This window comes from Homo sapiens, chromosome 6 (genome assembly GCF_000001405.40).
Source record: "Homo sapiens chromosome 6, GRCh38.p14 Primary Assembly".
Classification (NCBI taxonomy): Eukaryota; Metazoa; Chordata; class Mammalia; order Primates; family Hominidae; genus Homo; species Homo sapiens.
Window position 1 is genome coordinate 150964922 of NC_000006.12, and position 12588 is coordinate 150977509.

General features: G+C 43.5%; 1 protein-coding gene across 29 annotated transcripts in view; it reads left to right on the plus strand.

The window, feature by feature from the left end:
• Positions 1-12588, plus strand: part of MTHFD1L (methylenetetrahydrofolate dehydrogenase (NADP+ dependent) 1 like) — a 236186-nt gene that overhangs the window by 99220 nt on the left and 124378 nt on the right. For all 29 annotated transcript variants that reach the window (NR_146719.2, NR_146720.2, NM_001242767.2 and 26 more), the window contains exons 19-20: positions 48-116; positions 7026-7137. Coding sequence is in view for 27 of the 29 variants with exons in the window: in NM_001242767.2 (NP_001229696.1) it covers positions 48-116; positions 7026-7137 (181 nt within the window). In the remaining 2 variants the exon portion in view is untranslated. The remainder of the gene's footprint in view (positions 1-47; positions 117-7025; positions 7138-12588) is intronic.

Below are 12588 nucleotides of genomic sequence, written 5' to 3' on the forward strand. Positions count from 1 at the left end.
CTGGATGATATTTTGTCAGGAATCTAATGTTTTTCTCTCTCCTGTAGGGGGTGACAGGTGCTTTGACAGTTTTGATGAAAGATGCAATAAAACCAAACCTGATGCAGACCCTGGAAGTAAGTGGTTTTCTTCTTATAGTAATTGTTTGCATTAACTGGATTGCCACACAATGTGAACATTTTTAGCCAATATGAGGCAGGCATAGAGCATGCCTGGGGCAGCAGTGTGCTTTGCAATCTCAGGCAGAAAGAGTGAGGATCTGGTTAGGAACCTGTATTAGTCCATTTTGACATTGCTACAAGGAACTACCTGAGACTGGGTAATTTATGAAGAAGCATCAGAATAACTTCTTGGCCAACCAAAAAAAAAAATTTTTAAGTGTATTCATAGCTTCTTTAATATAAGTCATGTCTTGGCTTAATTGACCCGAGTAGAAACTTAGAAAGTCAATGTCTGAGGCCAGGCGCGGCGGCTCATGCCTGTAATCCCAGCACTTTGTGAGGCCGAGGTGGGCGGATTATGAGGTCAGGAGTTCAAGACCGGCCTGACCAATATGGTGAAACCCCATCTCTACTAAAAATACAAAAAAATTAGCCGGGCATTGTGGCACACACCTGTAGTCCCAGCTATTTGGGAGGCTGAGGCAGGAGAATCGCTTGAACCCGGGAGGCAGAGGTTGCAGTGAGCTGAGATCGCACCACCGCACTCCAGCCTGGGCGACAGAGCGAGACTCCGTCTGAAAAAAAAAAAAAGAGAAAGTCAATGTCTAACATTTCAATAGGTTGTATGGCCATGTTTACAATTTATTTTCTGTGTTCCCTTAATCTCTCATAATCATTGAGTTGTGGATTTTTTGGTTTGCTTTTTTATTGTTGTTTGTTTGTTTCCAAGCAAAATACAATAAATGCCAAGACTTTCCAGGAAAGCATTTGCCAAAGGCAAGTCAATAAACACACAGCATGTTAGTTGGTGGTAAGGTCTGGAGAAGAAAAATCAGAGGTCATGAGGGGCAGAGTGATGTGGGGTATGTGTGTCTGTGCCTGCCCGCCTGTTAAAGCAGTACCAGCACAGAGCTGAGTAAACCAAGGGGGTGAGCCATGCACGTGTCTTGAAGAACATTTGGACAGAGGGTTACCTTTAGTGCAGGGGCCTTGGGCAGCAAGGTGTTTTGCAATTTCAGACAGCAAGAGCGAGGATCTGGTTAGGAACCTGTATTAGTTTGTTCTCGCATTGCCGTAAGGAACTACCTGAGACTGGGTAATTTAAGAAGAAAATTGGTTTAATTGGCTCACAGTTCTGCAGGCTGTACAGGAAGCATGGCTGGGGAGGCCTCAGGAAACTTATCATGGTGGAAGGCGAAGGGGAAGCAGACAAGTCTTCACATGGCAGAACAGGAGAGAGAGGGCGAAGGAGGAAGTGCTACACACTTTTAAACAACTAGATCTCATGAGGACTCACTCACAATCATGAGAACAGCAAGGGGGAAATTCACTCCCAGAATCCAGTCACCTCTCCCCAGGCCCCTCCTCCAACATTGAAGGTTATAATTCGACATGAGATGTGGGTGGGGACACAGAGCCAAACCATATCAGAACCAATATGACAGAAATGGGGGGATTGGCCAGGCACGGTGGCTCAAGCCTGTAATCCCAGCACTTTGGGAGGCCAAGGCGGGCAGATCCCTTGAGGTCAGGAACCTCGAGACCAGCCTGGCCAACATAGTGAATCCCATGTCTACTAAAAATACAAAATAAATTAGCTGGGCATGGTGGCACGTGCCTGAAATCCCAGCTCCTTGGGAGGCTGAGGCAGGAGAATCACTTGAACAGGAGGCGAAGATTACAGTGAACTGAGATTGCACCACTGCACTCCAGCCTGGGCGACAGAGTGAGCCTCTTATCTTTTAAAAAAAGGGAATAGAAAAAAATGGGGGGACCATTTCTGAAGGTGCCCAGTGAGGATGCAGACTGCAGGTGTCCCCTGAGCTGAGGAAGGGAGGACTGAACGCCTTTGAACAGGTGTCTGCAGCCCCGGGGGAGGGGTGCAGGATGCACAGGTGCCAAGGCCACACCCTTCTGCGGCAGGTTGTCCTTCCCGTCTTTCCTCTCCCCTGATCATTCTGCCAGCATGCACGTATCCTCAGAGGTAGGCCATCTTAAAAAGCAAACAAAAACATTTCAAAAACCTCCTGCCCCCACCTGCATCCTCATCTAGCTTCTGCCCAGCTCTTGTCTGTCACTGGGGTCTCCATGTTAACTGACCTCGGGTTCCACCTCTCCTGACTGCCCTTGTCCAGGTCACTTTTCCCTTGGAGACACCAAGTCTTTGTTGCTGTGCCCTCCTCAGAGAAGCTCAGCAGAGTTTGACACAGCTGCCCTTGTCTTCCTTCAGGAGCACCTGGTTCCTCTGGCGTCTGGGGTCCCCCCCTCCCCAGGCCTGCTCGCTGCTCCTCCTCCGCTTTGCTGGCTTCTCTGATGACCCCTCACCTTTTTTGCCCCGTTCTCCTCCAGAATTAGCCAGGTGATGACTCCCAAACTCTTGTTTGGAATATCATGCACCTGGAATTTCAGACTTGCAGGTATAGTTACCAGGAGCCACGTGGGTGGGGAAAAGCCATTTCAAACTGATACATAAACCAGGACCCACCTCCTACCTACTTCCTTCCAGCTCGCTGCTTCCCTGAAACCTTCCCAGTCATTCAAGGCAGAAACCCGAGGATGATCCTAGAGGCCTGTTTTCCCTTCCCCTCTTCCTGTGTCCATCCCTGCAGAGTTGTCCTTGGTTACATGACTCTGCCCTGTCCACGATGCTCAATGCCTCCCTCCTTCCTGCTTTAGCTGCCAGCACGCCCCACCTGCACGAGTGCAGCAGCCTCCCAACCAGTCTCTCTGCTGCTACTCTTTTCTTCCAAAATACTCTCTCCTCAGCAGCCATAGAGACTGAAACCTAATGAAGCCCTGTTGCCTTCCTACTTAGAGTTCTTCCATGATTTACCCATGTTTCCACCCCGGTCTGAAAAGCCCTAGGGATCTGGCTCTCACCCCTTCCCGCTCCTTGTCCCTTATCCTCATCTCTCATCCTCTGGGGGACCTTTGCACGGCTAACACCACTACCTGGGCCACTTCCTGATATTCTCATGTCCAGCTCCTTCGCCTCCCTCTGTTCTCATGTCATGTAAGCATCAGCTGCTCAGAGAAGCCACAGGAATGTGCAGCCCCCGTCCCTCTGCTGTCATTGCAGTACATGGCACAGAATGCTGAGAGCTTCCTATTTCCTTATCTGTTTTCTGTATTTCTCCTCCCACCGAGATGACAGCAAGACCTTTTCCATCCTGTTCACCACCGTATCTCCAGCTTCTAGAAAGTGCCCGACACCTATTAGAGGTTCAGTAAAGACTTGTTGAATAATTAAGTGAATGTTTATTATTTTTACTACATTCTCCTAAAAATACACATTTATTAATAAATAACTGAATAAGAGAAAAAATACGAAGTGATGTGATATTCCTTCATAACACTTCTCCCTCAAAGATGAATACTTATTATTAGGGATAATCATTTTCTTTATTGTTGTTGTTTGTTTTGTTTTGTTTTGTTTTGTTTTTTTGAGACGGAGTCTCTCCCTGTCGCCCAGCCTGGAGTGCAATGGTGGGATCTCGGCTCACTGCAACCTCTGCCTCCCAGGTTCAAGCGATTCTCTTGCCTCAGCCTCCCAGGTAGCTGGGATTATAGGCGCCTGCCACCACACCCGGCTAATTTTTGTATTTTTTTTTTAAGTAGAGATGGGGTTTCACCACGTTGGCCAGGCTGGTCTCAAACTCCTGACCTCAGGTGATCTGCCCGCCTGAGCCCCCAAAGTGCTGGAATTACAGGCGTGAGCCACCATGCCCCAGCCAGGATAATCATTTTCTTGTTTTAAATAATTCTTTTTTTTTTTTTTTTTTTGAAACGGAGTTTTGCTCTTGTTGCCCAGGCTGGAGTGCAATGGTGTGATCTTGGCTCACTGCAACCTCTGCCTTCCGGTTTCAAGCGATTCTCCTGCCTCAGCCTCCTGAGCATCTGGGATTACAGGCGCCCGCTACCATGCCTGGCTAATTTTTGTATTTTTAGTAGAGACAGGGTTTTACCATGTTGGCCAGGCTGGTCTCGAACTCCTGACCTCATGATCCACCCACCTCGGCCTCCCAAAGTGCTGGGATTACAGGCGTGGGCCACCACGCCCAGCAAATTTTTGTATTTTTAGTAGAGGCAGGGTTTCACCATGTTGGCCAGGCCAGTCTCAAACTCCTGACCTCAGGTGATCCGTCTGCCTCTGCCTCTCAAAGTACTGGGATTATAGGTGTGAGCCACCGTGCCCGGCCTGAGCACTTTTTAAAACATAATCTAAACCTGTTATTTCTTTGCTGCCTAATAAATCAGAGATTCAGAACCCTTAAAAAGCAAATAAAAGTAAGGGCAATAAGACCTGCTGAGGCTGAGGCAGGAGAATAGCTTGAACCGGGGAGGTGGAGGTTGCAGTGAGCAGAGATCATGCCACTGCACTCCAGCCTGGGCGACAGATTGAGACATAAAATAGACTGAGACCCTGCCTCAAAAAAAAAAAAAAAGAGTCCTCAAACTGTTCATATACAGGACTGGGCTTGCTAGGGAAAGAAGGGGGAATTCTTCAGACTACTTTACAAGGACACAAGAACTCCTCAACCTAAACAAAGTATGAAGGTACATAGACAAGTTTCTTGTAAGTCGGAAAACAGAGAAATCCACAGTAACTATAATACATCCCTTAAAGGATAAGCATGCATTTGTAGGAAGCAAACAAAGCTTTCCATAGAGAAACCACTTCCACCAGATGATTATATGGACTTGGGTTTTGTTTCTGCATCTGTCACTTGGCAAATGAAGATACCATCTTCAGGATGTTCCGTGTCATCGATTTCATTTAAGGCATAGGCTGTTTTAAGATTACTTTAAAAGATATGGACCTTTTTACAAAATAAAACACTGCATTCACTTAAAATATTTGCAGACGTGAACTCTTGTACCCTGATCCTATGTTGTCACTCTGGGTTTTATGTATCTAATCATTGACTAGGAATCTATCTCAGCAGATAATCCAAAAATCTAGTTTGACTAGTTGGTAGATTATGCTTTCCCGCTCACATCTGAACACACCTGGTTGTTAGTCTGGTAGGAGGTCATCAAGGGCCACATCCTTACAGGTTGCCAGGAGACCAGTAGTTCTTAATCCTGACTGCACTTGAGAAGCTCCTGGGAAGGTTTAAGAATATTGATTGATTGATGCCGGGCTCCCCATCAGACCCAGTGAACGTAATGTCTGAGGATAAGGCTTGGGTATCATGTATTGCCAGACTGAGGAAGACTTAAGACAAGAAAACAGTGAGAGCTGTTAACATTTTCCCACAGGTTAGCCGTGTGTGGTGTTGATGGAAACTTCACATGCGAGAGCACACTGTCCAATATGGCGGCCACTGGACATGTGGCCATTTCAATCTAAATTACCTAAACTTCAATAAAATTTGGAATTCAGTTCTTCAGTCATTTTAGCCACATTTCCATTTATGCATTTATTTGTTTATATTTTACTGTTCATATTTAAGTGCTTAGAACTCTGGTAAGCTAACAATTACTTGAAATTACTTGAAATATTAATCTTATGAAATGTTTGAAAGGGCCATTATGGAGAATATTCATAGCAAGATAGTTCCTGCCTTATTTTCCTGAGTGTTCTGCATGTAAAATAAAACCCAGAACTCAAGATAAATGTGTGTATGCCTTTGAGTTAGTCATAGAATTTTTTAAGCAACATGTTTAATTTGATGTACTGTATCTTATAGCTATATCCATGTTTGAGTGTGCAAGTGTGTGTGTACCTGTGTTTGGAAGTCTAACAATGACATTCCAATATTTTTTTCTCACCAACTCCATACTGGGAGTTTTAAAACCAGAGCCCTAATCTTGACTTAATTATTAATTTCCTCCGTGGCCCTGAAGAATTCCCTTAGCCTCTCTGGGCCTTAAATTTCTGGATAAAGAAGTTGGCTGCTTCGTGCTCTCAACATTATCTGATTCTGTGATTTCTAGCTAAAGCTACATTTATACAAAAATATAAAGTGCTTTTGCAAAGTAAAGAGTAGAATAGTGGTTATCAGAGGCAGTGGGGGATGGAGAAGTTGACCAAATAATACAAAATTCCAGTTAGACACCACCTGTGTATTCATAAACATGTGTCCCTAGGTTTTATTTATTTATTTTTATTTATTATTTTTTTCATTTTTGAGTCAGAGTCGGTCTGTCACCCACACTGGAGTGCAGTGGTGCGATCTCAGCTCACTGCAACCTCCACCTCCCAGGTTCAAGCTGTTCTTGTGCTTCAGCCTCCCGAGTAGCTGAGCTGGGTTTACAGGAGCACACCACCACACCCTGCTAAATTTTGTATTTTTAGTAGAGACGGGTTTCACTGTTGGCCAGGCCAGTCTTGAACTCCTGACCTCAGGCGATCCGCCCATCTTGGCCTCCCAAAGTACGGGGATTACAGGCGTGAGTCACTGTGCCCAGCCAATTGTAATGATTTTTATGGTTACCTTTTCTTGAATGGAATCATTTCTTAATTAAAAAAATAAATATACCTTTTATACCATCAGGGTTTAATTTCATTCTTTTAAAAAAATATAGTGCATGGCAACATAAAATAAGGTAAATAATTTATTTCATGGTCATTGAGGCAACTAACAAAATGGTTTAACAATATTTTGGAAGGAAGTGACTGTATTCTCACAGTTTTGTCTCTCAGGTTCAGCATTAAATGTAGAATAACATTTTTCTAGAATCCGGAGGGAATTTGGTCCTTTGATTGAGTCAGGGTGTTTTGACTGTCTTTGAAATATTTTATGCATTAAATATGCAGTATTCATAAAAGCTTTCCTACCCCATTTGCCCCAAATTGATCTTGGTTTCCATGCTTCTGTTTGTCTTTTGGGATTTTGATTTGCTTTTTCACTTCTCTAGGGGACACCTGTGTTCGTGCATGCGGGCCCTTTTGCTAACATTGCTCACGGCAACTCTTCAGTGTTGGCTGATAAAATTGCCCTGAAACTGGTTGGTGAAGAAGGATTTGTAGGTAAGTTATTTCTTTTAAATTTAGTTGTTGTAGAATATTGAAGAAATCTAAAAGCTGATGACTGGAATGGAGTGATATCCATCCTGACATGAAACATATTCTTTCAGGCACCCTCTTTCATAGAGGGTCTCAATAATGGAAAAGCCCTAAGGTCTGGTCTATACTCGTGAAATTATGCTTGTGCTTGAATCATAGAGTCTGGTATCAAGTACATATGGGTTTGAGTATAAACTCTGACTCTTGCAAACTGAGTGACATTGGACACATTTTAATTACTACTGAGCTTCGGTTTTCTTGTGTGTAAAATAGTGATAACAATACTGTATCAAACCTTTTAGGGTTGTTATGAAAACTGAATGAGATATTTTAGTCATTCAGCAAATGTTTTTTGAGAACCTACCACTTAGAAGGCATGTTAGCTAGGGATCCAGTGGTAAGCAAAACAGATAGGCGCAGTGGCACATGCCTCGCTACTCAGGAAGCCGAGGCAGGAGGATTGCTCGAGCCCAGGAGTTTGTGTCCAGCCTGGGCAGCATAGAAGACCCTGCCTCTGTGAAAAAATTAAAATTAAAACAACCAGCCTTAGCCCCTGCTCCTGTGGAGCGTACTGTCTAATGGTAATTGAATAAGAGAAAGTGCTCATTGACTGTCAGCCATTACTACCCTTACTATGTAGTACTGATAACTTGAAGTCGTGGGTTTATTTCCATGTACAGTTTCTCCTTGTTTTTTGTGAGCTAATATAGGAGAGATTCCCAACCAGTAGACTTAGAAATGTTAATTGGTAGTACTGCACACCTTTTGCTGCTGTCAAGTTCTTTGCAGAACCTGTTCCTCTTTGGCTTTTCTTGCATATTCCAGCTAGAAAGAAGGGGCAACTCTCATAGAGTTTACTAAGTCAGTGCCAGCCCCAGTCTCACCCACAATACTAAGGCAGCAAGGAAACAAAAGACAAAACCAAAACACAGGCATTCATGGAGGAGTCCCTTAATCTGACATATGAGGGACTGCATTGGCAGATTTCCCATGCTAACAGGTAATTCCCATTAACCACACGTATACCTATAATCGGAGACAGCAATCTCTTCTTTCACTCTTATCATCAGCTTTGGATCAAACTCAAAAGAGTTATTTTATTAGAAGAGAGTGTGCTGGACAAAAGAACTTGGCACTGCATTTTATGCTCAGACATCACAAAGTTCATTCAGTGTTATTGAGACTCTTTTAAGAATTCCTTGTGGACTGGCAGTCAGGATCAGATGAGGCTTGGTGGAGCTCCACTCCTCCATGATCTGTTTTCTGCAGCTCTCATGTACTTTGCTCCTTCGGTAGCAAATCCACTGCAAGAGTGGCTAGACATACTGTCTAAGTGGATTTGCTCAATTGATCGCTGCCTAATTGTAGAGCTAATGGACGAGGAGGCTGGGTCAGGGCGGGCACTGGAAAGTTGGGTGCTTAAGTGAAGTGGTGGTTCTGATGCATCAGCTCTGCAAATAAAGTAGCTTCTAGAAGGAAGCACTCTATTTTATGCTGACAGAGATCTCTGCCCATACCAGTTCTTACTTTGTCAAACACATATTTATAAAATACATGTTATCATGGCAGAATACTTTCAAAGATATAAACTGATGATGTATGCAAAGCAAACGAGCCCTCTGTGTGACCTTGAACAAGCCATTAGCCTCTCTGGGTGTGTCCCCTGTAGACATTCTCATCTGAAAAATGAGAAGTTGGACCAGATGAGGAGTTGGATGTGGATGTGTAGCCGTGGACTCAGAGTTAGACACTGTGGAATTGGAGCCCTGACTGGTAGTGTGTTTTCATTTCTCTAGGGCTCAATTTTTTATTTAATAAAAAGAATACTTCTGTATTTTAATGAATAGGATCAAGTGAGAAACTGCTTTGTAAAATATGAACTATGTTCAGGTCAGCAATTATACTAATTCTTTCTATGATCTCATCTAGTCTAAGATGCCGTAAGTGGGGGGGTTTTTCATGAGGATGAAATCTGTCCGTTGCCAGATGGTTCAAAGGGCAAGCCCTAAGTCAGAGGTTTTACCTCAACTGCTTTCAAGTCACAGATAACCTTGGGCACATGAACCCTTCTCTTCCTTGGTTTCCCTACCTGTAAAATAGGGCTTTGGATAGGGCTTCCCTCTCGAAAGGACTTGGTAGGTTTGAAATGAGGCATCAATGAGATCATGGGGTTGAGTCCTGGCACCTGACACATGGTAAGACTCAATCCTTCTTGGCCACTCCTGGCTGTCATTGTTACCCCCACTATTGATACACTACTGATGAAGGTTACATTTTCTTTTTTCTTTGGATCTTTTTATTTTTTGGATGATTTTATTTATAGTTGTTATAAAATACACGTAACATGAAAGTTACCATCTTCACCATTTTTGAGTGTACGTTCATTAGTGAAGTACACCTTCATTGTTGTGCAACCAAGCTGCAGAACCGAAGTCCCATGCCCATTAAATATTCCTCATTCTCCAGCCCCTGGCAGTGCCCTTCTACTTTCTGTCTCAATGAAGTTGACTCCTGGATACCCCATGTGAGTGGAATCATGTAGTATTTGTCCTTCTGTGACTGACTTATTTCACTTAGCATAATGTCCTCAAGGTTCATCCATGTTGCAGCAGGCGTCAGAATTCTCTTCCTTTTTTTTTTTTTTTTTTTTATTTTTTGTGAGATGGAGTTTCGCTCTTGTTGCCCAGGCTGGAGCGCAATGGCACAATCTCAGCTCACTGCAACCTCCGCCTCCCAGGTTCAAGCGATCCTCCTACCTCAGCCTCCCGAGTAGCTGGGATTACAAACATGCACCACCACGCCCAGCTAATTTTTGTATTTTTTAGTAGAGATGGGGTTTCTCCATGTTGGTCAGTCTGGTCTCAAACTCCTGACCTCAGGTGATCCACCCATATCAGCCTCCCAAAGTGCTGGGATTACAGGTGTGAGCCACCACACCCGGCTAGAATTCTCTTCCTTTTTAAGGCGGAATAATATTCCATCGTATGGATAGACCATACTTTGTTTATCCACTCATCCTACATTGGACATTTGACTTGTTTCCACCTTTGGCTCTTATGAATAATGCTGCTATGAACATAGATGTACAAATATATTTTAATGTCTAAAAATCGTGCTCTATGATGTCTAAATATGTGATGGCAATGACTTATATTCACAAATACGTACCACGGAACTCTAGCCCTGTAATGTTGAACTCTCCCGAAGGTGGTGTGTCCATGCTGTGGCTCTGTTGGAATGCTGGTGGCAAAGCCAGTGTATTGCACAGTGGGAACGGGGTGTGGTCAGGAGACAGTGTTCCTTGCCCATTGCTTGGTCAAGCCTGCACTGTGGGGCTCGTTCATTCCTTGCCCTTGGATGAAGTTTATAATAGTTCCCTCTCATTCTCAGTTAATATCTAGTCCCTCTAACACATATATTTTTTAATTCCTCTGGTCACTTTCAATCATAAGAATAGCCCCTAAAATTAAAAATGCATATCCAGTTGTATATCAAAACCAAAAACTCCAAATGTCACTCAGACTTGAGCTCCTCTCCTCCCCTGTCTGGGCCTCCTCTGGCTGACAGTGGGAAGGGGAAGGTGGCTGCTTGCTTCTCTGCCACCCTTGTCTTGCACTTGGGCTCGCCCTGGCCCCTCCTAGGTTGAAGCTTTGGCATGAAATGGTGCCCATGTAGCCTCTACCAGCAGACGTCCTCACACTTTTGGCAGAAGCCCCCTGAGCAGTACCTCATTTAGACTTTCCTACCTCTGATTCCACACCTGGTCTCGGGTACCACAGACCTCTGACCTCTGGCTGGGGACACGCCCTGAGCCTTGCCAACTGGTCTTCTGGTCCTCACTTGTGGCTTAAGGGGGAAGCGGGGACGCCAAGGCGGGTGGATCACCTGAGGTCAGGTGTTCAAAACCAGCCTGGCCAACATGGTGAAACCCCGTCTCTACTAAAAATACAAAAAAATTTAGCGGGGCTTGGTGGCGCATGATGTAATATCAGCTACTCAGGAGGCTGAGGCAGGAGAATCGCTTGAACCCCAGGAGGCAGAGGTTGCAGTGAGCTGAGATCACACCATTGCACTCCAGCCTAGGCAACAGAGACAGACTCTGTCTCAAAAAATAAAAATAAGGGGGAAGCAGCTTCGCATGCTCTTCACTGGGAGCTGGGAGGGGAGCTGGATGTGGCACACTGATAACTTTCTTTGAAGAAATTCTTTCCCAGGTTCTAACCCGTCAACCCTTTTGAAGCCTCAATGGGCTAAGGCATACAAAATCTATTTCAAACTGCTTTGCAAACCCTCCCAGGTCAGCCAGCACCATCCTTTGGCATGTGAGCAAATTGACACCAATTTGAGGCCCGAAACAAAAGTGAGACAAAAAGACGTTCATTTCAACATCCTTCTACAGAAGTTAAATAGAGTAGGCACATCTGAGGTGTATCTGAAGTCTGAGCAGGAATTCATGTTCTTCAAAAAGTTGTCGTTTATAGTAGACTATCTTTATGACCTCATAATAGGGAAGGATCTCTTAAAATATGAAAAGCTCAAACCATAGAGAAAAATGTCGATAATTTGGCCTGCATTAAGAAGTAAACTGTATGTGATAAAAGATACAAGGATAAAAAACAAGTGACAGATTGGAAAGAAACGTTTGCAAAGATAGTAGACAATGATTAGCATTGAGAATATGTAAAACACTAAAGACTAAAGACTGATAAGAGAAAGACAAATAATCCAATACAAAAATAGAGAATTTGAAAAGGTGATTCGCAGCAAATGAGCAATTTGGTGGAATTTCTAGGTAGAACTGAAAATGAACAAATGATTTAGCAATTTCACTTCTATGTATACTCTGGAAAAGAAGTAGTCAAAAATATATTTAAGTCCTTTGAAATAATTGACTTCAGTACCCCTTTAATGAGCATTTATTAAGCTTCTGCTATATGTCAAGTACTATCTGCTAGGAGCTGGGAATCAAATATGAATAAGACAGGTTTCTTGCCCTCCAGTAATTGATGATGTGCTGTGAGAGACAAGAACTTCAATGGTAAGTACAATGCACTTGATTAAGTACTATATTAGTTAAGGTTCTTAACTAAGAATTTCAAGGGATGATGGGCATCTCTTAGATAGAACTGTCTCCATATTACTGGTTTTGCTGATTTAGTCTAATTTTTGTTCTAACAAAAAGCATACACAAGGAAGGAATTATTTTGTCTATTCTGAATAATTAGTCTAAGATAATAGAATCAGTAGTCCATTTAGACTTAAAACAGAGTGACATTTATTTTAAAAAAGCATGAATTTGCAAAACACTTTATGAGAATTTTTCAAAAACTGCTGTGATCACTGTTGTGGCTGTTTCTTCCGTTAGTCAGCAGTCCTCATGGGAGTTCACCTAACTTCCATTTACATGCTGTAAAG